The sequence below is a fragment of the Homo sapiens genome, chromosome 12 (assembly GCF_000001405.40).
Source record: "Homo sapiens chromosome 12, GRCh38.p14 Primary Assembly".
Taxonomy (NCBI): domain Eukaryota; kingdom Metazoa; phylum Chordata; class Mammalia; order Primates; family Hominidae; genus Homo; species Homo sapiens.
Window position 1 is genome coordinate 74594497 of NC_000012.12, and position 27557 is coordinate 74622053.

The following is a 27557-nucleotide window of genomic DNA, read 5'->3' on the forward strand; positions in this document are numbered from 1 at the left end:
TGTTGTTAGGTCTTTATAAATTTGTAATTCCAAGGAGCCGATATCTTCCCATTTTTTTTTCCAGAGAAGGGGTTTTACTCTGTCACCCAGGCTGGAGTGAGTGAGTGTGCAGTGGTGGAATCTCAGCTCACTGCAACCTCCACCTCCCAGGCTTAAGGGATCCACCGACCTCGGCCTCCCAAAATGCTGGGTTTAGAAATGTGAGCCACTAGGCCCAGTAAAGACATTTTTTTTAAAAATCTAGCTTTGAAACTGCAATTGTTTAACAGCCCAGATATTATTATCTTTAGGTTTTAGATGAGGTACTTTTAAAGATACACCTCTTGACTCTAGGAATAAAAGTGGGCAGAACTTTCACTATACCCAGGTATTCTGGAGAAAAGAGCTGTGAAGGTCCTCCTTTCAAATTTTGCTTGTGGCTAAAGTGATCAAAGAGGTAAAGGCAGTCAATCTAGGAAACAAAATCCCAGGTATAAATCTCTCCTTGTGTTTTTTTCCAATTTGGTACAAGATCTCTTGTTACAACCCCAAAGTGCCTAAGATCTAAGGTGGAGGAAGCTCTCTGCTTCAGGCCTCAGGGAAGGCTCCCTGGTTTGCAGGTATTCTTGCCCTTAAGAAAAGAAAACAGGCACTCCTACATAGTTAATCTTTGCCGATTTGGGCTGTGTACTAGGATTTGAGATCAAAGTCTTATTATATTTCTTAGTTTAGCTTTGGCAACTTTATGGGGTGAAGTGAAAGATCAGATAAATATTGGATTACATCCCTCTGCCTTTAGGTCCAATAGCACTTTAATCTTGCAGCCTTTATTCCCAGTATTAGTGGTCTGATTTATGTAATTTCATGTCTTTTTTAAATTACATACTTCACATGGGCAGCTGCTGTCTTAATTCTCCCAGAAACTTACCTAGAAATTACTCTTATGTTAAGTTCCATATATTCCCCAGCACTGTCTGATACCTAAGTATACCTTAACCTTGGGAAACTGAAATAGTGTTTATGAATAAACCTTGAGGCTTTTGAGCGCCTGGAGGTCCTGGAGAATTGGGAGGTCTTCAGTCATGGGTGAAGGCTGAAGCAGCAACCGAAAGGTTAAGTACAAAGCTGTTTATAATCTCTCTTCACTGCACATTTCTAGCTGAAGGCAATGCAGCTAGAACACAGATTTCATAGAAAACTTCGATGAAGCAGTGTCATAAGATGAAGGAAATATTGTTTCAGCAATAACATTCATCACTAACTAATAATTCATCACTAACTAACATTCATCACTAACCTCTCTGGCTTTCCTGTTAATCCTGTTGAAACTAAAGTGTATTTAAAAATTCATTACTTCCAGCTTTATTGATCCTGCATTTCTCATCTGTCCTTGTTTTTCAACCAGGCAGTCATCTCACTCATCCATTCAGCATATACAGGTTGAGTTCCAGGTGCTATATTTAGTGTCTAGAATATTAAAATTAAAACAAACTCCCTTGAGTTGCCTCCATTTGTCACTAAAGTGATTGTTTAAACTATTGCTTTAGAGACAAGCAGATAAACAGACTGTTCCAAGTGTAAAAATAGTACAAAGTGGCTGGGAGGACAGAGGAGAGACACCTAACCTAGATACATTGAACTACAGGCATGAAAACCTGTATCAAATAGTGCAAATTCCCATGTGAGATCTTTTCAAGACAGTCTTTGTTTAACCCTATATTCCTGAAAAGTTCTTGATAGTGTATTTGGAGACTCAATTTTTGTGGAGTTTAAATTTGGAAGTTGTTGATGGGATAGTAAGAACTTTAATAGCTACTGCTCGGGAAAATTAAGAATATTCTTATATAGAGGATTTGCAATTACCAACTCAACTGCCCAATACTAAGTATTGAGGACAGTGATTAAACTCATAGGACTCTATCTCTTAACAAATAAATAACTTTAAGAATGAGATCAATTGACAGAAGCTGTGAATATCGACATGACTAGTCAAAAGGATTTATATTACTAATTTATATACAAAAGAATTTTAATGTTATTCTTAGAAATGAAATGTATACAATATAATGTAGCATTCATTATAGAATATATTTATGAATTAGCCCAAATGTAGATATTAAAAATGAATGAGATTATGATTAATGATGTAAAAATATCTCATAAAGATAAAAAAACTGAATGCAATACATTAATACTCTCAAAAAGTTCATCCTTATTGGCTAAATCAGTAGAGATTCAGTGGGATATTATACTTAATGTTCTTTCTATGAGGTGTGAAAAGATACTAGAAACACTGGACATTCATGAAAGTTTCTAAATTTTCTGATGAACTAGTTGGCAATACTCATCCTCCTATGTATATTCTACCTTAATCAGTAATCCTAAGATGTGTTAAAATAATTTGAACATTTAGAAATGGAAATTTCTATACAGCCAAATTTCTACTTTTTAAAATCCTGGCTTTTTCAGACAATAATAGCTACATTATTATTATTATTATTTTACAATAAAGTGTTTGGAACCAAACTATGCCATTTTTCTCAACTTAAAATATCTCCTTCACACGACAATTTATTCTATAACAGAGCAATCAAATAATATTCACAAATCACATATTTAATCTATGTTTGTCACTCTCCTATTCAAAATTATCCATATTTTCTGTTCTCAAAGGAACCAAGTCCCTGTTTTGTAAACTCACTTTCAAGATCTTTATGATTTGAACCCAACCCCCTTTAAAAGCTTTATCTCTTATCACTACTCAGCATATCATCCTCTATCCAGAAACATAAAAAGTCTTCTTATTCCCCCATGAATATTCACTATGATTTTTCCTCCTATAGTCTTGATTTTGTCTTTTTGAAGTGTCTTCCTTGTCTATCTGTCTATTAAAATTCTAGTTCCTTTTTAATCTAAAAAAAAAAAGATTTTTACTCCTCAATGCTTGTGTAACTATCTGCAGGCAGAAATCATCTTATAAAATATTTTAATATGCCCATTTTTATACATGGTTCAATATGCTACAAAGTTTGTAGTTCAGTGAGAAAAGAAAATGTTTTCTTTCCAAACACAGAAAATTAACTAAGTTTTTGAATGTTTGAATTATAATTTAGCAGGTCAGTTGAGTGAACTTTGGAGTCAAAATAAATAGGTTTTCATCTTGGCTTCATCCTTTCTAGCTGTATTTCCTTGGACAAGTTATTTTACTTTGCTAGGCTCTAGTAGTCCAATTGAAATAGGTTTGATATCAATCCATACTTCATAAGGTTTTAAAAAAAATTAAATTAGCGAATACAGCTAGCGTGTTTAGTAGTGTTGACACATTGTAAACAGTGAATGCAACTTATTGAGTAATTAAGTGGAAGATAACATACTGCTAAATGAGTTGTCTTTGGGCATTTTTTAGGTATATATGGGAGCTTCGTCTAAACTATTTTCTCAGATAGTCAATACCATTATGATATTATCAAACTAATTTTACAATAGGGTCAGTAAAAAAGTCTCCCTTATAAACTTTTGTAATAATTACAGTACTTGAACTATTAATTTTGTATCCATTTCAACAGATTGATTCTAAATCTTTAAAATGAGCCTGTAAATTTCTACCTTCCCAGCACTCTGCCAAAATAGCATTTGATCATTTAGGATGAGCATTTTTAGGATTTCTGCCAATGAAATACAGTGACAATGTTGTGGATCCTTTAAATGCCTGTGGCTGTTAAACTTTGCCCAATTGGTCCAATATTGCTGTAAACATAGGCAATAATATAGACGTTATCAAGAAAACAAATAGAATTAAAAGAAAAAAGAGATACTATTCGTGAAATAGTTACGATTAATTCCCTATACAGATTAATAGCATACAAACTTAAAGTAAGATATTCAATCCTTCTCAGCTCAGTTGTAAATTCGTTGTTCTAAACTACAAATTTGCTTTCTTCATCTTATTAATTTCTCAAAAGCTATAATCAATTTACATTCAAAGTTTTAAAAATAGTATACTCAGGAGGCTGAGGCAGGAGAACCACTTGAACCCAGGAGGTGGAGGTTGTGAGGCAGGAGAATCGCTTGAACCCAGGAGGTGGCGGTTTTGGTGAGCCAAGGTTGTGCCATTATAGTCAAGCCTGGGCAACAAAAGCGAAACTCCATCTCAAAAAAAAAAAAATTTATTTGCCTTTTAGTGACTTCTTGTAATCCTTAATCCTCCATCCATACTTTATGCACCTATGCTTTGATAAGGATTATAACATTCAAGACAAAAAAAAAAAAAAACAGACTTCCTATTCACATTGAATTGCAAAGAAATATACTTGAGTTAAGCAGAAGATTTAAAAATAAGTTCATAAGAAATTTGGTACTTACCTTCTACTCAAATCTTGGTTTTTGGTTACTTGCATGTTCAGTTAAACTTCAAAGGATGACAGAATATTCTTCATTAAATTATACTCTTCAAGATAGATATCATGACTGGGAAAATGTGCTTTTGAAAATGCTGTAGTGTTAGTGATTTTTTTTTGTGAGTGAGTAATTATGTGTCACCATTTTGGTCACAAAGATAATTTTGCTTTCCACTTCTAGGTAGAATGCTAAGATACTGATTCATATCAGCTTATTAAATTCCACAGAAGAAAAAGTACTTTGTATTTCCAAAACAGAAAGAAGTTTCCTGTCTTCAAATGAGATTTCATGTTTCTTTTTAAAATTAGATTTCTAACTTAGAGTTATGTTAAAGTTTCCCTAACAAAAGTTATTTAATTAAAAAAAAATTTCTACTTTCTAATTATTTTTTAGACTTTCACTGAGCTTTCCTAAAAGGCACCAAAAGATTGAATGCAAGACAATATATAATAGCAGAGTTTCCTTATCTCTCTGGAGTGATGGGCTGTCAGTGTAATCTTAGACAGGGAAGTGTGTGTGTGTGTGTGTGTGTATGTGTGTGTGTGTGTCTTTTGGAGAAAGAGAATTGATACTGGAGAAGTGAGGCATTACTATAAAGATACCTGAAAATGTGAAAGTGCTTTTGGAATTGGGTAATGGACAGAGGTCAAAAGAGTTTGGAGGCTTTAAAAGAAGACAGGGAGATGAGAAAAAGTTTGGAACTTCCTAGAGACTTGTTGAGTGGTTGTGACCAAAATGCTGATAGTGTTATCGACAGTGAAGTCCAGGCTAAGGTGGTCTCACATGGAAGTGAGAAACTTATTGGGAACTGGAGTAAAGGTCACTCTTGCTATGTTTTACCAAAGAGACTGATGGCATTGTGCCCCGCTTTAGAGATCTGTGGAACTTTGAACTTGAGAGAGATGATTTAGGGTATCTGGTGGAAAAAATTTCTAAGCAGCAAAGTATTCAAGATGTGGCTGGCAGCTTTTAAAAGCCTACACTCATTTGCATAAACAAACAGATGACCTGAAACTAGAACTTATATTTAAAATGGAAGCAAAGCATAAAAGTTTAGAAAATTTGCAGCCCAACCATGCAGTAGAAAGGAAAAACTCATTTTCTGAGGAGGAATTCAAGGCTGCAGAAATTTGCATAAGTAAAGAAGAACAGCTGAATGTTAATAGCCAAGACAATAGGGAAAATGCCTCCAGAGTATTTCAGAGACATTTGTGACAGTCCCTCCCATCACAGGCCTGGAGGCCCAGGAGGGAAAAATGTTTTCATGGGCTGGGCCCAGGCCCTTCTGCTCTGTGCAGCCTCAAGGCATGGCACCCTGCATCCCAGCTGCTCCAGCTGTGGATGAAAGGGGCCAAGGTACAGCTTGGGCCGTTGCTTCAGCAGATGCTAGCCCCAGGCCTTGGTGGCTTCAATGTGGTGTTGGGTCCATGAGTGCACAGAAGGCAAGAGTTGAGGTTTGGAAGCCTCCACCTAGATTTCAGAGGATATATGAAAACGCCTGAATGCTCAAGCAAAAGTCTGCTGCAGGGATTGGGCTCTCATGGAGAATATCTACTAGGGCAGTGTGGAGGGAAAATGTAGGGTTGAGCCCTCACAGTGTCCTCACTGTGACACTACCTAGTGGAACTGTGACACTACCTAGTGGAACTGTGAGAAGAGGGTCACTGTCCTGTAGACCCCAGAATGGTAGATCCACTGACAGCTTGCACTGTGGACTTGGAAAAGTCATAGGCACTCAATACCAGCCTGTGAAAGCAGCTGTGAGGGCACTACCCTGAAAAGCCACAGAGGTAGAGCTGCCCAAGATGGTGGGAGTGGATGTATGTATTAGTCCATTAGAAAGCCCTGGATGTATGTATTAGTCAGGGTTCTCTAGAGAGACAGAACTAATAGGATAGGTGTATATATAAAGGGGAGTTTATTAAGGAGTATTGACTCACACAATCACAACATGGGGTACCACAATTGGCCATCTGCAAGCTGAAGAGCAAGGAAGCCAGTCTGAATCCCAAGGCTGAAGAACTTGGGATCCAATGTTCAAGGGCACAAAGCATTCAGCACAGGAGCAAGTTGTAGACCAGAAGAGTAAACCAGCCTAATCTTTTCATGTTCTTCTGCCTGCTTTTATTCTGGCCATGTTTGGAGCTGATAAGATTGTGCTCACCCAGATTGAGGGTGGGTCTGCCTTTCCCAGTCCACTGACTCAAATGTTAATCTCCTTTGGCAACACCCTCACAGACACACCCAGGAACAATACTTGGCATTCTTTAAACCAACCAAATTGGCACTCAATGTTAATCATCACAATGTGAGACATGGAACAAAAGGAGATGATTTTGGAGCTTTTAGAATTACAGCTGCCCTGCTGAATTTAGACTTGCATAGGGCCTACAGCCCCTTTGTTTTAGCCAATTTCTCCTTTTTGGAATGGGAGCCTTTATCCAATGCCTCTACTCCCATTGTATCTTGGAAGTAACTAACTTGTTTTTTATTTTATAGACTCACAAGCAGAATGGACTTTCCTTGTCTCAGATGAAACTTTGGACTTGGACTTTTGAGTTAATGCTGGAATGAATTAAGACTTTAAGAGATTGTTGGGAAGGCATGATTGCATTTTGAAATGTGAGCAGTGCATGAGATCTAGATGTGGACACAGAGCCAAACCGTATCAGAGACTATGTTATTTTCAAGTTTGTAATAGCTAGAAGGAGGAGCGCTGGGCATGTAATAAATGTACCTCAAATTTTAAAAAGATGAGCTACAAAAGTTGAGAATAAACAAACTGATATTTGCCAAAAGTTATAAAAATATTTATCTGTAACTCACAACTCCAACTAAAATGCAAATTATCCTTTTTCCATTTGATGGATTATTTTTTGAAGAATGAACCAAATAGTAAGATTTTCATCAAAAATTAAATAAAACTAAACAGCAGAATTTAAAGCATTTTAAACAAATAGCATGTAAATCAAAACATTAATGAAGTAATTCATTAACTGGTGTCATGCTTCAAATTAGAAGGCATTTTTAGAAAGAATCATTCTTACCAAAAAAGTGAAAGAGTTAAACAAGGTAACAACAGCAACAACAAAAAACAGCAATCTAATGTTCCCTGAATGCCCAAGGGTGGGTATTTACACACTATGGATATTTGGAATGGTCTAGTGGATTGCTACACACTATGGATATTTGGAATGGTCTAGTGAATTGCTTACACACTATGGATATTTGGAATGGTCTAGTGGATTGCTATAAGGCTATTCTCTTTTGTCATTTTCAACAAGGAATAAATTCGACAGACAGTGTCATCAATATCAGTACTAAAAACTTCCCCTATCAGCAAACTGATCTTGTTGCTACTGCTACTGCAATTTACCTTTTATGCCTCATTACTTTATTTAGAAAAATGGACACATACTGTTTAACCTTTGGAGAAAGAGACTATGTCATTTCCAAATTTGTGATAGTTAGAAGGAGAGATGCTGAGCACATAATAAATGTACCTTAAACTTGAAAAAGGTGGATACAAAAGTTGAGAATAAAGATAGGCATGAACTGAGACTCTGAGAGTAATGTCAGATTATTGGGATTGATGTAGATGAAGAATGCTCTGATAGCTCCCTTGAGCTCAGATTTTAAAGGCATATTTGAAAATACAGGATAAGGAGAAATAAATAAACAAGAAGGAAAAATATTATTTTAGTAAAATAAAAGCTGAATTGAAGAATAATCTGTAATATTAAAATATTGCTTAAAACTAGACAGATTAGCCTAAGAGTAAAATACATTAATTCTGGAGTTAACTTCCAGGATTAGCATTTTAGCTTTTCCTCTTTTGCTACATAATCTTAAGCAAGTTAGCAAACTTCTCTGAGCCTATTTTGCTGATATGCAAATATGGGGGGCAATACTACAACTTTTCCTTTAGCATTAATATGAATATGATATGAGATGTAAATGAATCAACAATCTTGCAAACTGCACAATAAATGTTATTACTATTTAAGAAAAACACTTTAACATTTAATTTTTTTTATAAAGGGGAATGCCATAGCTTGGTTAGTAATATCAAAGAAATATCATACTATAAAAGTAAACAGGAAAGAAAGACTTTATCAAAGGCTAATGTAATCAAAGACAAAGGCTCAATTCAACTCCCCTGTAACTAAAGGAGGAAGAATGTTTAAGTGGAAAAGTACTGCAAGACTTTAGCAGAGAGTGTGGTCAATGTGATTAGATCATCTGTGTTTGCCAATTGGCACTTATTGAAGTCAGTCTCTCCATAGAGACTGAAAGACAGAAGTCTTATATTCCTTGATTTAAGAGGGATGGCCCCCAGGTTTTTGAGAAAGACATTCCTGGCTTTCATAACCTACAAGTCACATTTAGCTAACATCCAAATTAACCTGTCTAGGGTTAGGTCTTCTCATTCATGGAAGTATCCTGTCTCTAAGTAAAGAATCTTATCATGAATTTCTCAAATTGTTGATGTACTGATTAATGTATGACCTACTGATGCTGGAAATTATGCTGAATTGTTTTTGAATCATGAAGTTTTACTTATTTTTTTCTGAGTCATGAAATTTTACTGGTTGTCTTGCATGTAGATATCTTAGCCCATATGTTGCACTCTGTAGCCAATGATTATAGCCTCTGTATTGTACCCTCCAATGAACAAGGATAATTCTGATATGAGAAGTCCCCTTCTCTTCTCCTAAACTTTCTTATAAAAGCGTTCCAACTTGTAGCAGACTCTGGGATGTTTTCAACTTTGTTGGTGTGTCTTTCCAGTTCGATTCTCACATTTGGCTTATGGTGAAACTTTATCAAATTATTTATGCCTCAACAGGCTTAATTTTCAGTCCACAGCTTGTAAAACTGATACGAGGGAAAGGAAGGTTAGGGACGTTTATTCAGGAAGAAACCTGCCTAAAGTTTAATCAAGCTGAGAGAAAAGTTAAGGCTATCTTGGTTATAACTAGCAGTGAGTAATTCAATGCTTTTTTAGATAACATTTGTGATCATGAAACAGTCTCATATATTCAGTCTGCGGAAACATTATTCAGAGGGAATTGAATTCCAAAATATGTGCACTAATTTAGGTTTCTTTCTAGCTGTTCCAAATGAAGTTTAAGATTTTATACTTAGAGGAATTAAATTCCAGGGCACTGAAAAAAGAATTTAATGGGAAGTTACTACCATTAGCCTCATAATCATGAGGAATTTGAAGGCGAGAGAAAAAAATGTGAACCCACACCTTTCACAAAGTTAGAGGAATTACAGTCAATACTAGTGACATTAATATTAAACATGGAAAAAACTTATGAATTAATTCTCTAACAGCATTGTGTGTGCACTTAGAATAGAGATAACTGGTAAACCTCAGACATGATCTTATAAATTGCTAAGATTTATATGGATTATAAAGCTAATAGCTCAGGGGAATGATGTAGTGGTCTCAAATTCAAATGTTTTCAGGGGCGAGACAATGAGAATACATGTGGTGAAGTTTTATGTGTAAATCAATAAGGAGTTCAAAGGCCTGTGGAAAGGGGAGAATGCATGCCTCTCCTAAAGTCATTGAATTTCATTCTTCTAAACCCTTGAAGTCCAAACAGTGTATGTCTACTATGAACTCCAACTGAGCCTAGTTTGATATCCTCAATTATAACCTGAATTTTGTTATGAATTTGATTAATGTTTATCAAAATATTATGTGGACTTAATAAATTTATATTTGAAATAAAGTTAGGAGAATTGATCACTGGTAAAATACTGCATAGAAAGATTACTGAATAACTTATCTATATTAAGTAGTAAAACATGTTTGCTTCCATGTCCAAAAGTTCTTGTTAAAAATCTAAAGCATTTGAAAGACATAGTTTAAGAAGGAATAGCAAAGAATTTGAATGGGATAATATAAAATGATCATATCAAGTTTGAAGTTAGAGTAAACTTAAGAAGAATTTTAAGATGGATAATGATGGAAGTCTTGAAATTAAGTCCAAAAATAAACTGAAAAGTACAATATAAGGAAATACAACTTGACTCCATGGAAAACAAAGAACCAGAATTTATAGTTGTTTGTGAGCTTAATAAAAGACAGTAGTATAGAACCATTGCCACAAATTCAAGAAGGCATTCCTAGATTTCATTACCCAGAAAACAAAAATAATTTAAGAACATGGCAAATGACAGAACTGCTCTCTCTCTGGTGGGCAAAACCTAAACTTACATTCAGTAAGAGAAGCCCAGAAAAGAGTTACTAAGGTGGTGAAGAACCCCAATTTATATCAAATGAAAGCCCACTGAATAAATATTAGATAAAAGATAAGATTCATAAAATTCTTAAGTATTTTGAAACACTTGTCTTTTGAATATTTAAAGCTTTTATGTGCAATAAAGCATAATCATATTATGTATTACTTTATAAAACAAACATTCAAAAATGGGGAAAATTTTCAATACAATAACAAATAACTTTGTTTCTAATAACAAAACTTTCACAAAACAAATAGTCTTCAGAGACAAAATAATTTTTTAAGCCTAGAAATGTTCACGATTTAACCAATTCTGCGCTATTTTGAGAAAGGTAGTATATCATCAGATTAAGGTCGGATTATGTTGTCTTCTCCGTTCATGAGATTCTAGTATATTATGAATGATCTTTCATGCAAGCCCATCAGATTCAACAGATAAATTCAATGTGCAAGCAAAAATGTCTATGGGGAACTTCCTGTAGATTTTTCAAAGAAAGTGAGCTTCATTTTGATTTGGGAAATTATGATTTTTTTCAATTGTGTAAGCAAAAGTTTTAAAACAAACACAACAAAAATCAAGTTACTTATAAAACAAGAACATTGACTTTGAGAGGCAGCTTGTATTTGAGTACGATTTCTGCTACTTGCATTAGTCTACATAAATTGGTGAGGTTTTTGGGGCTCAGCTTAATCAAACATGAAATCGCAATAAAGCCTATTACATGATGCTTTTCATGATGATTAAATAACTAAAAATTGTAGCATATGTTTCTCTGTTATTGACATATTATTGATTTTCAGTAAATTAAATAAAATGTGTATAGACAAGTCATGTATTAAAATCCCTGTATTAGATAATTGAGGTTCAAGGAAACATTCCCAATTTTAGATCTAATATTTAGAATAGCCAGAACTAGAACTTGGATTTCTTACTCCTGGCTTCTGTTCCTTACACATCAACACACTTTTCACTCATAAGGAAAACTAAAGTAAAAAAAGGGGAATGATGCTGTTTGAAGAGGTATAACACAAATATAGTGTGTTATCAGCATGATCGATTAAAGCAAAATTTCTGTATTGTGGGGAATTAGTCATTATTAGCAGCAACTATTGTAAAAACGATGACTCTCACCTGAATTAAAAATCATAACAATAATGATTGCTTTCTTTATCAGGTAGCTCTTTTTCTCCAGGTGTATTCACTTTTAATAAGTAGAAAATGTCATTAAATTGAAAATTGAACCAGCAAATTCCTTTTAATCTTTGGTTCCCTAGCTACCTCACTGATTTACAACAGTCTTGGGCATCCGTTGGCCTTTCAATGTAATCCCATCATAAGAAAAAGATTATATTCCTTTCTACTGAACAAATTTTAATGCCACTGTGCAAGTAATTGAAGAAACAAGAATGAATGTGATGATCTTCGCTTTCATTAAACATTCAATAATGATTAGGAAGACAGTAAAGTACACAAACACTCAGCAGATAGATGAATAGATAGATAAATATAGATCATTATGAGGATGATGAAGATAGACTATTAGAAAATAGGGGGCCGGGCGCGGTGGCTCATGCCTGTAATCCCAGCACTTTGGGAGGCCAAGGCTGGCGGATCACCTAAGGTCAGGATTTCGAGACCAGCCTGGCGAACATGATGAAACCCCATCTCTACAAAAATACAGAAATTATCCGGGCATGATGGCATGTGCCTGTAATCACAGCTACTTGGGAGGCTGAGGCAGGAGAATCACTTGAACCTGGGAGGTGGAGGTTGCAGTGAGCCGAGATCACACCATTGCACTCCAGCCTGAGTGACAGAGCAACAGTGCGAAACTCTGTCTCAAAAACAAACAAACAAACAAAAAACCGAAATTTCAGTTGAAGAGAAGGAATAAGTTTGAAAGATCTATTGTATAACATGGTGACTTTAGTTAATAATAATGTGTTGTATTCTTGAAATTTTTAAGATTTTGAGAATCTCATCACAAAAAAAGATTAGGATGTGAAATAATACAGATGTTAATTAGCTCAAGTTAGCCATTTCACAATGTATACATATTTCAGAAACATGTTGTACATGACAAATACCTGGTATCCAATTTTTGTCAATTAAAATAAATAATTTTAAAAAGAAAATAGGGGAGAATTAAAGCTACTAAGGTAACTAAGAAAATGGTCAGAAATTATATTCCAAACTATGACACTGGAACCATAATATGCACAGCATTTTTATCTCATTCCTGTACACCAGAGAATGATAGTATAATTTAGATTATTTGATGCCAAGAAGTAGTCTTATGTAATCAAGTATTCAGAATTAACATTATACAAGGTGAAATGAAGTATTCTACAAGACAGTACACTGGAATGAACATGAACTTTGGAGGACATGTCTGCGTATGAGTCCTGGTATGATACTCATGAGCCATGAGAACTGAAGAAAAGTATGTTATCTTCTAGCCTAATTACCTTCATCTATAAGATAGACATGATATGTATTATGCAGGTTATTGGGAGGATTAAGTGAGGTAATATTTGTAATGTACTGTGCCTGGCATAAAGATAGATATGTTTTATTTTCCTGATTGATACTTTTTATTGTCTCAATGGCTGTCATTCTTAGGAAATATGTTTAGTTCAAATTTTACAATAAGACAAATTGTAAAAATATGATTAAAATAAAAAGTTCTTTTTAAATGAATAATTCCTTATGCCTCATGGAAGAACTCTTTTTGTGGGTTCCATTTCTTTAACTTGTTAGTACAGTATACAGAGTGCCTTGAAAGATCTCATCTTATACAAAATTATCTTTATTAGTGCTTGTATCACTGTGTTCATAAGTGCTCACATTACATTTCAGTTACTCTATCTGTATAAGCATTCCAAACTTGAGTTAATCTTTAGGAATGAACACTAACATCTGTGGGGCTGTTGCATTGCTAGTTATGTTCATATATGGTTCTAAGATTTTTATAGAATTTACACATAATTTTTCCATTTTGCTATAATTTTTAAATTTTTGATTTCTTTTAATTATATAAAAAATTACAAAACCAAGACATTTCTTAAAGTAGAAAATAAAAAGTAGATGTGCTTATAATTGCCACATCCCAGTTAAGTTATTGCATCCAGAAGTCATGTCTCAGTGGCATTTGAAAGACAGAAGCTTTCAATATTCATGATATTCATTTGACAAAATGAATTAAAGACAAGATAAAATGAAGATACGTTATAAGCCTGGAGGTCTTCTGAGTGACAGAGTCTGCAATCAACTAAATGACTAGTCAAAGGAAAGACAAAAGAGAAAGGAAAGCCCGTCTTACAGCTTGTACTGTGTGTTTCTTCTAAGTCTGGCAATAAAGTGAGAATATTGCTTCTGTATTCATTAATTATTTATCACTAGCTCTCCAAATCTCTGAACAATTTCTGTTGAAGGAACTACAATACACATGGAGTTATTCATCAAATGCTGATGTTAGCACATTCTCTTTAAGGCTATAAACACGAATGCCAGCTGTCCAGTGAGAATCAGCAGAGTTCTGATTCATTAAAAGCAGTGAATTTCTCCATATATTGCAAAGAGAAAGAATATCTGATTCTGGTGAATTAACAGGGATAAAAAATATTTATTGCCACTTGCAGGAAAAGGTTTAAAGATATTATAGCTAGGGTGGACAATGTAAAAAAATATGTCTATTGGAGAAATGAAATAAAGATAGGCAAAAAAACAATTCTGATGTTTACATTGCAGTGTAACTCAAACTACTATGCCTTTGACTTATTCAGGCTCCTTCTACTAATTATGCAAAATCAAAGCTAAAAATGCCCTTCATATCTAGAAGTTAAAAAGTAAGATTTTTCTAATAAATCTTGATTTTATTTATTTATTTATTTTTGAGGCAGGGTCTTACTCTGTCACCCAGACTGGAGTTCATTGGTGTGATCACTGCTCACTACAGCCTCAACTATATGGGCCCAAGTGATTCTCCTCCTTCAGCCTCCCAAATAGCTGGGACTACAGGCACATGCCACCACGTCCGGCTAATTTTTGTACTTTTTGTAGAGATGGGGTTTCACCATGTTGCCCAGGCTAGTCTCGAACTCCTGGGCTCAAGAAATCCGCCCCGCCTTGGCCTCCCAAAGTGCCGGGATTACAGGGGTGAGCCACCGTGGCCAATTTTTAAGTTAATGAAATATATCTGAATGCAATTTAGTTACCAGCATAATAGCAATTCCTTATCTATTTCCCATTTCCTTCAAAATTTCTCCATATAGCACTTTACTTTCTGCCTCAATAGTTGCATCTTTTATTTACCTGTTTTCTTACTCCAATTTTATTTTTGCTCCTAGATCTGTACTGAAACTATTCTCTAAAGTAGTGACTCTCTAATTTCGTGTGCATAAAAAAACAGGGAAGCCCTGTTAAAATATGGATTCTCGGGGCCCATTCTGCTATATTCCGATTTAACAGGTGGGAATAATGGAGCAGAAATGGTAAGGTAGAATTAGGATGGCACATTTTAAAGCTAAGTGACCAATGTTTTACATAAAGTAACTTCAACTTAACCCCAAATCTATTTTCATTTAAAATTTAAAATAAAATAACATACATTTTATTCTTATAAGTTCAAGTAGTACGGAGGTTTAAAAGTAAACTGTAGCCTCTCCTCACATATTCTCAATCTCATAACCTAAAGGTAACCCAGGTTAACATTTGGATGAGTGTCTTCATATACATTTTATTTTAATGTACATATGGGCATTATATAATTTCCTTTGTCTAAAACAAGAGGAAGGTATATAGTCAGTCACGTTTCTAACTTTGCTGATTGATTTTGATATTTAAATGATCCTCTTGACTTTTCTAGATAGGAAATTGTCTGTAATTAATTCAAATTTGCAAGCCCTCCTTTCCATATTTCACATAGTTTTCTAAGACCAATAATAGTAGAAACAAAACAATAGCTTTCTTTTGTCATTCATTGAAAAACATATGTATTAAGAATTTGTATGAGGAAACTCCATTTATGTGTAGAAGACTCTCCAAACCATAATGCCATTTCTACCATAGTCCCTGTGATTGAGAATTTTCAGTTTTCTGTTTGACATCTTCATATGGATGTTATGTCAGTACAATAATCTTCCTAAGTCTAAAATGGTATTTGTCCCTGCTGGAAAGGCTGAAAATCATAAGAATCATGTCTTATTTGTTCTCATAAAGCCCAATCCTCCCTCTCCTTTTATAAACTATTTGTTTCTTATACTCAACTAAACCTTAATCTTATTTATCCTTTATTATCCTGCCTTGGAAATCTACAATCCTTGAGAGGCCTTGCAGGTGAGCCCACCATGGCTATGTGCTGCTTCTTTGATAAACTGGAACACTAAAATCTTTATTGAGTTTGAAGTCATTGTATTAAGGGTCTTGTCACCCTAGGTACACCTAGCAGGTATGTAGTTAGGATCTTGTAAACAACCACATCCTTCATCTCTCCCTGTCCATTTGGACTCCCATAAACAACTTAGTATATTAGAGAAAATATAGTGGCTGTGACCAATGGACTGGAAATATTGCTTGAGTTCAAACCCTAGCTCAGCCACTTAGCAGCTTGACTGCTTGCTTTGCAGAACTTATCCTCAAATATCTTATCTTCAAAAGGAGTTAATGCTAGCACTGACCTGTCTTATAAGATTAATAGAAACAAAAGGAATAATTATGTGATGTACTTAGAATTGTGCCAAGCACAGACTTAAACACATATTTGTGTTCAGTGTTTATTGTCCTAGACACTGATCATAATCATTAAACCATCTACAAAGAAAGGAAGAACCAATCACCTCAAATAACCCTTGATCTCTGCGATAAACGTCAATGCAGAGCTTCCAGCTTGAGATGAAGTGAGAAAATGTCGAGGAAAAAATATAGATCCATATATTTTTTGAAAATTATCTTGTGACACTGGGATTATGAAAAAAGGTAAATATTAGGACTGCCATTTCAAAATTAGAACATTTGTTGACCTCATGGCAAAAGGAGACATAAGGACTCAGATTAAAAATTACAGAAAAAAGAATATTATAAACACTTAAACAACAAAAATTGAAAGTACATAAATTGTCAAATTACCAGTATTTAATTTATTTGATCATAAACAGAGTATAGATGAAAATATAACAGCATTTGTAATAATATTTCGTAAACTCTTTTAATTCCCTCTCAAACTAGTCAAATAGTTTCAATTAGTTCTCTCCACTGGCAAATATTAATTCAAGACATAAACTGAAAAGATAGACTTCTAAAATAATCCTTTCTGCCATCATGAATTATTACCTAGGCTTACTGGAAAATGTAAATTATCTAAGGAATAGTTGTAATGTAAATATTATACCATTCATTAGATTTTTTTCCATAGGTAATTTTACAAGGCCATTGTGAACATTCAAATGTATAACAATTTTGGAATTAGTAGAAATGTATACTTGGCTTTACAAGAAGTTGTAGCCAGTAAAATATAAAATCTTACCTCAGATATAAAATTAGACATTAGTTATTTAAAACCTCTATAAAAACCAAACACTTCCTTCTATTATGTATAGATTAGCATTGTACACTGATTTATGAAAAAAACAAAGCAAAACAGGGATTTAAATGACTACTGTATTTTACTGACTCTATTTGATTAATCAGTGGCTTGTCAAGAGCTCCAGAATTTATTAGAGAAAAATTTCTCTGAAAAAGTCAATAAAATAATGAATCAAGTATAGGAAGTTGGATGTGTTAAATATAAAATAAAACAACCAGCAACAGAAAAAAAACCCCTAAACTTTCAAAATAAAGGAGGAGAGGTCAGTGCAAAACTGTTTATCAGTTTATGAAATCAAATTGGTGGACTATAGATTGTACCCTTGTCGTATGGCTTAACTCCCAAGCTATTTATTAGACTGAAATTACTATGATGGCTGTGTTATATTGGTGCACAATAACATCTGAAAAAAGGGATCCCTGAGAACTTTTAATGTTTTTTCTACCACTAAAAATATAGGTGACAGGGATTCAGAAAAGCTCTATTCTAACAAAGCAAAACCTTCAGACTGTACTCATCTCTTTTTTGTCTTCAAGAAGTCACCAGCTTCTTCAAGCCAATCCATAATTAGTCAAAGTAGATTATTTTAACACTGAAGATAAATTGAATGCAAATTACATAATGGTAAAGAAATGTGAAAATTATTTCACTAATTCCTATTTATAATAGCTTTGTGTAGTATGAATTTTCAGGTGCTAGAGCACTATTTCCTGGAAAATAATCTGAAACTTGTCATTAGGTGACTTAATCATTCCATGCAAGTTTTATGTGATCCTTAACCATGAGAATGATGCTATTCCCTCTGGATTCAGCTATTCTTCAATTATGTAGTTTCTATCTTCCCAAGAATTTTACTCAACTCTTCTTTCTGATTCCTTTTCCAGTTCATTCCGATCTCCTTTGAAAAGCAAATAAACAAATCAGAAGCTGCTTCTCATTATTTCCAAACCACGAAGTGATTCTCTGCTAGCTAATTCTATAACTCTACATACATCAAAACATGCTCTGCTAAGGAGAGTTCCTTTTCAGACTTTTTATTGCAATGTCGCTTCCTTTAAGTATTTCTAGATTTAGTACATTTTTCCTATTCTTTTTACATTTTATATTGTCTTCACATTTCATATTTTCTTTGCTTTGTTATCGTAATACAACATCATTACACTTAAAGCCTACATTTGCATTTTAAGTTTGTGCTTGGAATATCACTATAAAATACACCCACGATTATTTAGGAAATAGATTTTTACCATAGAGCAAGAAAATAGTTATATATATTACATGAAACACTAGCAAACTTCTATTTCTAACTTATATTTCCTTCATATTTCCAGAGATATATGCACCAGAAGCTATGCGTCAAATTAGTTAACTATTTGGTCAAATATGGCTTATGTAGATAAGGCCTGTATTATATTTTAAATTTGTTAAAACAATATCTTTCATTTGCAAGGTATTGTGTAACTTATATAACATTTTAAAGCATAATAATATAATATACATTACTTGATTTTTATAAAACCATTGTTACAAAGGCTGTATACCAATTTTACTGATAAAGAAACAATGCCTATGGCTATTAGTAGCAGGTTTGGGACCAGTTCCAAGTCTTCATATTTATGCTCCATTACTCCTTTCACCAAAGTGCACAACTTGGCTAAGTGCAACTTTTGTATAAATAGACTCATAGCCAAGTAAAATTGAATTAACAGGGTTAAAACATTTTGTAGCTTTTATTTAAATGTGTATAGGCAAGGAAATTATATTTATAACAGGCTTAAAAAGAATTTATAAAAATTGTAAAAACAATTTACTCTGCTAAGGTAGATGAAAACTTAAAGATAAGTGAATTTTCATAATTCACTTATTTCCTACTTCTTCCAAAAGAAGTAGGGCTGGCAAATAGACATATTAATGACGTTTCTTTGATTCTTTTATTTTTGCTGCCACATGTTCCATAATAAAAGAAATAAGTGAAAACTTGTAATTTATATTTACATTTTCTCCAATTGTTTTCAAATTTCTACATAGTATTATATAGCAACAGTGAGTTTTTATCAACCCGAAGAAAAAGGCCCTCAGCAACAAGAACAAAAATGTTGGGAAGTGATGCAAGGCATACTGTACCTGTTAATAATTGCACTTAATCAAATTATCTGAGAGGAGAGGTCTCCTGAATATGGATTCTGAATATGGTTTCTATATAGGGTCTAACTCCATAGGATTCAAATGGGACTCAGAAAATTTTCCTAAAAGACAGCAGACAACCATATACCAGATTTCCAGAATAATTGATTTAATCATACACTTTATATAAAAAAGTTACATTTTATAGTGGGAAAAAAGTAAATTACCAAAAGATGATTTTACGTTTTCCAAATGAAAATATGCAGAACCCAGAGAATCCAGTGGTTTAGTTAAGATTACATACATAAGATTACAAGAAATGAAACTAGACTAAAGGTCATGACTGCTGATTCTCTATACACTTACATTTGTTTCAATAAATAGTTACTTTCCAAGAAAAAAAAGTTTTAGAAATTTCTGACCTAAATTTGTATTATTACAGTTGAAAATATGAAGCCACCTGATTAATTTACCATAGGCTGTTCTTTAAACTGTGAAGAAGAAACTAATGAAGCAGCAGTAGTGTTATTTTGTTGGCAGAGAAAAATTTTCATGACGGTCCAATAAAATTAATTATGCAATACATTATACTGAGAGCTATTCTGAAAATAAAGTAGAAATCTGAGTCAAATTTACATCAGTTTCTAGAAGGGTCATAAAATTAATTGCCTTTTACAGTTTAACATTATAAATAAAGCAACCCTGATATGTCCTCTCCATTTGTTGACAGAATTTATTTGTTCATGTCATAGTCAGAAGGGTAGAAACAGATGAATCAAGTGCCCTTTCATTTCACCAGCCTTCAGATTTAATTGAAGAAGGCTGCTTTGCTAATCTCCATCTCAGGGAAATTGCAAAATTGCTTATTAGGTTATCTTTCAATTTTAATCACTTCCCAGAGTAGAGATAGAGACTCAAGCACCTAGCACAAAAATTGAGTAAGTGAAATATTGCTCATATATAGAGTTTCCCAATGCACATGTTTGCAAAGCAAATATTCCACGTATATTAGATTGCATGACCATGATTCTGATTAGTTATGTGTAATTTAAAATGAAAAATAGTAAAACCATGTTAAAATTGTTTGGCAGTTTTGCCAAATAATTGTTGGAAGAAAGGCACAGATTTGCTTCCTTGATAGGGTAAAATACATTATGAGGTAGCTTTGTGCTTTTATTAGAATTCTGCATAACTTACCATTACCAAATGTATTAAGAAGCTCCCTAGGCTCTCAACATATATATCTATCCCTTTATCTTAGGTCATTAGATGTAAAAAGTATCGAAAACCTGTGTTTCAAGCACTAAAAACTTTTATTTCTCAAATATATATACATTTATATATATGTTTCTCAAATATATATACATTTATATATATGTTTCTCAAATATATATACATTTATATATATGTTTCTCAAATATATATACATTTATATATATGTTTCTCAAATATATATACATTTATATATATTTCTCATATATACATTTATATATATATTTCTCAAATATATATACATTTATATATATATTTCTCAAATATATATACATTTATATATATATTTCTCAAATATATATACATTTATATATATATTTCTCAAATATATATACTTTTATATATATATTTCTCAAATATATATACATTTATATATATTTCTCAAGTATATATACATTTATATATATTTCTCAAATATGTACATATTTATATATATTTCTCAGATATGTACATATTTATACATATTTCTCAGATATGTACATATTTATATATATTTCTCAAATATGTATATATTTATATATATTTCTCAAATATGTATATTTATACATATATTTCTGAAATATATATATTTATGCGTATATTTCTCAAATATGTATATTTATACATATATTTCTCAAATATATATATTTATACATATATTTCTCAAATATATATATACATATATTTCTAAAATATATATATTTATACATATATTTCTCAAATATATATATACATATATTTCTAAAATATATATATTTATACATATATTTCTCAAATATATATATTTATACACTTATTTCTCAAATATATATATTTATACATATATTTCTCAAATATATATACATACATATATTTCTCAAATATATATATTCATACATATATTTCTCAAAGATATATATATTCATACATATATTTCTCAAGTATATATTCATACATATATTTCTCAAAATATATATACATACATATATTTCTCAAATATATCTATTCATACATATATTTCTCAAATATATATTTTCATACATATATTTCTCAAATTTATATGTATACATATGTTTCTCAAATATATATATTTCTCAAATATATACATATTTGCATGTATATTTCTCAAATATATATATTTGCATATATATTTCTCAAATATATATTTATATATATTTCTCAAATATATATAATATATAGGCTTTTAAGAATAATTGTTTTCCATCCATCATGTAATTTTCTTGTGTTAAAATTGTGTGTTACAATTGTTACAAGAATTTTTTCTTGAAACTACTGGGCAGAAATTATATTTTTCTTTACTTTGAATGAAGCAAAGTAAATTATTGACTGGAATCCATAAAATTATAGTAATTAGACCAAAATATTATGGGAATTTTGTGAGTTGGAGTTCTCTTCATAGTTTATTTCCTTCAGTTTGTATCCAAATTAGTGCCAATGACTTTCTAAGAAAATGACATTTTCATAAAAATTATAATAAAATAGCTATAATTTTTCATCACCAATGTATCCCTACAAATTTGACCAAAATCATAGGAATTATTTAACATCTTTTCTCTCATTTATTCTATGCAATATTATGTTGTTATCTCCATTATACAGATAGTGAGGCTGAAGAATAGAAAAGTTAAAAACTTTCTCCAGACTACATGGCTGCCAAATGATAGAGCTAAGAGTTCAGTCCACATTTGGCTAATGCTAATATCTATACTCTTTACCCTGATTAACAGCATTCTGTACTACCAAGTTTAAATTAGTGACAAGGTGATCCGAGATGATCTGATCACAATTTGAGAAATAGCCACATGACTTGTCTCTCATCTCCACAAACAACTTCACAATATGCTCTAGCGAGGTATCTTTTGGTAGGAAGATATATATTCCCTAGACTTGTATGACTTACATTATAATTAGAAACAGAGCAATATTGAAAACAAAAATTTAGTCTACTTCTGTGTTTGATATAAAGAAGCCAAGAGATAGTTTAAGGCATATGAATCAGAAGGATAATTAATATTTTTTCCCATTAAAAAGTAATATTATTTATAAGCAATTTGGACAATATAAAAAAATAAACAGTAGAGAAAAAGGATCAGCCATAATTCCATTGTTTACGTGCAATTGATAAAAATTTTCCATATATATTAGCACATATAATATCAGTGTATTATATCATGGTATATGTCAATTACAATATACATTATATAGTTCAGTTATAATTATGTATTTGTATTTATAGGTATATAGAGAATAAGAATATAAAATTTACATGCTTGCCTATAAATCTTTGTCATATATTTATTTTATTAGAAAAATAATCTAGAAACTGATTGGAAAAATTTGATTTACTTTACCAAATTTCTTTACAGAAATTTATATCAGTTTATACTCCCAACTATAGAAAAGTAATTGACATCTTGTCATATAGGGGAAGTGAGGGTTGTATTATCCAAGCTGCCAAGAACACTGTAGTTAGTTTCTTCACTAGACATTGGTTTAGGTCTCTTCCCTAGACATTGCCCAAGGTTAGGCCCCTCTCCAGGGTACCTATTTGCAATTACTAGTTAATGTGGAAGGACGAAGGTCTAAACTCCTTGCCCAATTCAAGACATTTCTAAAGGACTATCCCAGCTCCAGAGCTCTTAATGGGATTGGCTTAGACATTGGTTGCAACTGGATCAGAGTTCAAATTTTCTCTCTGCCAAGTCCTACAAATGATAACAAATGTATCATCATGAGCTTTGTTACCAAAAGCTCTCCTCAGCAAACTGCCTTCAAACTAATCTCTACCTGAGCTTGTTTCCAGTGGAACTTGACTTAAAACATATTAATTTTTGATATCTCCACTCGTAAATATGGTATCCTTCTCCTTTATTTAAGGCTATTTTTCAAATGTGTCTTGATAATGTTTTGTGTTTTTCTCCCTAATCATTTCAATTTATAAATCTAAACATTTTATAGATATAGATATAGATATTTGATGTAATGAATACAATGAATTAATACATTTTACTACCTAAAGGCAATTTTTTTTGTGATGATAAACCATCAAACTCAAATAAAAAAAGAAACCCTGAAATATTTATAAAAAATACAAAGAATCAATAGGATTAACATGTATAGAGTGATTATGAATCAGTAATCAATTACTAACACCAAAATAGAGTAATCACCAAAGCATCTTCACATTTTGTCTTTAGTTGAGGCCTAAATTGTAAAGTAGGTTGAGGCAAGTCAAAGTCTGAGGTCGAACGTCCACTGTGCTCCTCCAGCCTCTCTTTATCTCCTAATTCCCTTGCTTCAGAGGATGTTACCTGGCTCCTTAGATCTCTATGAAACACCATCTGGAAACTGTTGCTTTAAAAGAGAAATTAATTTTAAATAGGAATAAAGCATAGAGAAATAAACATATAAACAAATTACTTTTCTATCGTTAACCATATTAAAGCATAAAGCATTAAAGATTCATGTTAAAGGGGGAAGGTACATCTTTTCTATTATTTATAATAAATTTTGACATAAAAATAATAATAGAGTATAATGAGACAAATAATTACAAACTTTCAATACTGAGACCTTCAAATAGGTAACATCCAATACTTTCTGAGAAATTATCTCAAGTCATTAGAGATTCAGAGAAATATTTCAATTCATAATTTTGATTAAAGTATTGTTTATAACAGATAATGTTAAACAATCAAAATGCTCATGGAAAAACAATAATAGGTAACAATTCTTGAGAGTTTACTATGATTTGGATACTCCAAATAATAACTCGAGATAAGTTCCAAAATTGACCCATTTTATGGTCTATCCATGTAATAGAAAATGATTCTGCAAGGTGTGCAGGCAGCACATAAAAGTTGACAGTTGCAGAACCACAGCTCCTCTCTGATACACTCCTGAAGAACAGTGGTAAAGGGAAATTTTCTCAGGAAAACCTTCAAAGCTACCCACTTTGCTTTGAAGGAGAAATGGCCAGGCATGCAATTCATGGGCTGCCAATTGTTTGGATGGTCAGGAACTTGGAAGAAACATGATTGGAAAATTGGTGACAAAGACATTTGGGAAAGAGGAATGTGAATAGACGTGTTAGAATGGGCAAATGACATAATAATATGTGTCCCATGTGAAACTCACCAAAAGGTGGCCTCAACAGAGGAGTATTTTAGTAATCAAATGGATAGGATGACATGTTTTGTAAATAGCAATTGGCCTCTCCCCAACCCTTGCCACCAAGTGCTCCTCACGCCTCTGAGTCAACAGGCAAAGAAGAGAATAACAGTGTTGGCTAAGGTAATTGCTCCTGACTACCAAGGGAAAATTTGACTACTACTCCACAATGGAGGTAAGGAAGAATATGTCTGAAGTACAGGACATCCCTTAGGATGTCCTCGGTGTTACTATGTCCTGTGATTAAGGTCAATAGGAAATTACAACCCCATCCAAGCAGAACTACAAATGACCCAGGCCCTTTAGGGATTAAGTTTGGGTCACCTTATTAGGTAAAGAACATAACCAGCTGAGGTACTTACTGAAGGCAAAGAGAACACAGAATGAGTAGTAGAAGGTAGTTATAAATACGAACTATACTGTGTGACTTAAGAAATTAAGAAATTGTCTTGAATATTTACTTTCTCTCTAATATCCTTATGATGTAACATAAAATTATTAACTTTTTATCAGTATTAAGTATTATTACCACTACATCATAGTATTTAAGTTATGTGACATTACTTAAGGACTTTACATTCTCTTCTGGGGAAGGGATTAGATTTTTGGTTATATGCAAGATAGCTGTATTATGTTATATGGAATGACCTTATTATTGTCTTTATTTGTGTATGGGTGCCAAGTTGATAAAGGGTCAGTATTTGCTGGTTAATTGTATGTGTCAACTTGACTGGGCTTGACCAAATAGCTGGCAAAAGATTATTTCTGGGTGTGTCTGTGAGGATATCTCCAGAAGTGATTAGAATTTGAGTCAGTTGCCTGAGTAAAGATCATTCCTTTCGCAAGGTGGCCTGGCATTATGCAACCTTTTGAGCACTCTAATGAAGCAAAAAAGGGAGGGCAAATTCTCTCTCTCCTATTGAGCTGGGACATCCATCTTCTGCCTTTGGATGTAGGAGCTTTTGGTTTTTATACCTTCTGAATCCAGAACTTATACCCTCATCCCTCCTTCCCCACAACCCCTGGTTCTCAGCTTTTCAGACATGGGCTGGAATTTACACCATAGGTGGAATCTTGCTTCTCAGGTTTCCTGATCAGCCTGGACTAAATTATATCACTGGCTTTGATGGTTCTTCCAGCTTGCAGAGTTGGTGGTAGGACTCCTCAGCCTTCACAATTATGAGAGCCAATTCCCAAAATCAATCTCTCTCTCTCTCTCTCTGTTAGGATAGAGAGATACATACTTGTTTGTATTGCTTTCTCTCTCTCTCTTCTGAGATAGAAAGACAGAGAAATACAAACAAGTATGCATTGTCTTATAATCAGATAAAATTATTTACAAAGTATGTATTATCTTATAATCACATAAAATTGTTATTTGGAAATACAAAACATATTAAAGAGTATCCACTTATTAAAACTGTGAGGTATAACTTTGCTTGTTGATTTTGGTAGCAGCCAAAGTATTGACCCCAAAATAAATATGCTGACTTCTTTGAGGAATTATTGTAGTAGGTAAGGTATCATTTACTTCATGTCTTATTTGGTTCAAAAATGTCATTTATGCAATTTCCTTAGAATTCCCTTTCTATGCTCTTTGTACGAGCTGCAATTTGGTTTCTCATACTTACATTTTGTGAAGGTTTCTCATAAAATGGGGTTTTCTAGCATTATCTGGGCCATTTATGTCACTATTTCTATCTCTCTCTCTGTGTCTGTTTCTTTTTGCATTAGAGTGAAAGAGTACAAAATGTAATTTGTCCATTAGTAAAAAATTATGAGTCCAGGTTGGCAAGGGCAAATGGAGACCTCAACAATAGGTCAATTGTGATGTAATTAATTACAGTCATGTAGCTTGGAGTTCAGGCTGATGACGATTCAGTTACACATCCCAGAGAGAGGGAGAAAGAGAACACAGACTGATTCTGTTCCAAACAGTTAACAGAAAATGTCGTTGTGCCTTATTCTGCTTACAAGTGAAACTCTTGAAAAATCTTAATGGAAAGAACTAATGTATTTTTTTTTTGGTAAATTTTACTTGAAATTGTTTCTACAGGTTATAAGAGAAAAATGTATCAGTGTTCTTTATGGTTAGGTCTGTAGGATTTTCTCTTAACCATTCACAAAATTGCCAATTAAGTTTTATTTTCTAACATTTTTCTGTTGTTTAAAAAAGTGCATGAACATATATATGTGTGTATATATATATACACAAACACACACACACACACACATCCCATCAGTGAAAAAATAATCATTTAATGTTCTCCTAAGTTATATAAGTCTAACTTACTGGACCATATGTATTTGAAGAGAATGAACATGTACATTAAATAATTTTATAGTGCATCTAAGATGTATTAGGTTCTGAGTCTTAGAATAATTTACAATGAAAAGGAATGTGGTTTCCACCTTAATAAAAATGAAGTGTTTTGGATATACATAAGAAACGATGACACTGATTCAAGATTTGTTCATTTTAATAGTTTAACACGCACAAAATATTTGAGAATAATATTTTACTGAGCTTTCTTGTATTTTTAATTTTTTTTTCAGCTGCCATTTCTGAGCCTTTTAATATTTCAAGTTTGCTCAAAAACTTTCCAACATTCTTAGTGTTAATCAATTTATCCACATTGTTTTCCAGAATTTTTCAGTGAAATTTTTGAGCCAATATAAATGTCTCAAATATTTTTGAGACAATGTCTCTCACACAGTAAGATCAATTTCACATTATAATCCAACAGTGATAGTGTAGTTTGAATGCTGTGCTAAGGTGACTGGAGACTAC

General features: G+C 32.7%; 1 long non-coding RNA gene across 3 annotated transcripts; it reads right to left on the reverse strand.

Moving 5' to 3' along the window:
* Positions 1 to 17897: 17897 nt before the first annotated feature.
* Positions 17898 to 26563, reverse strand: LOC101929967 (uncharacterized). Of its 3 annotated transcripts, none has more exons than XR_945096.2 (3): positions 26398 to 26563; positions 23767 to 23950; positions 17898 to 18119 (listed from the first exon to the last, which is right to left on the reverse strand). It is a non-coding gene; the product is annotated as an uncharacterized LOC101929967 (long non-coding RNA). The 3 variants fall into 3 exon arrangements; XR_945097.1 differs by lacking the exon at positions 17898 to 18119 and adding an exon at positions 19353 to 19467; XR_007063371.1 differs by lacking the exon at positions 17898 to 18119 and having other exon boundaries at positions 23704 to 23950.
* Positions 26564 to 27557: the final 994 nt, after the last annotated feature.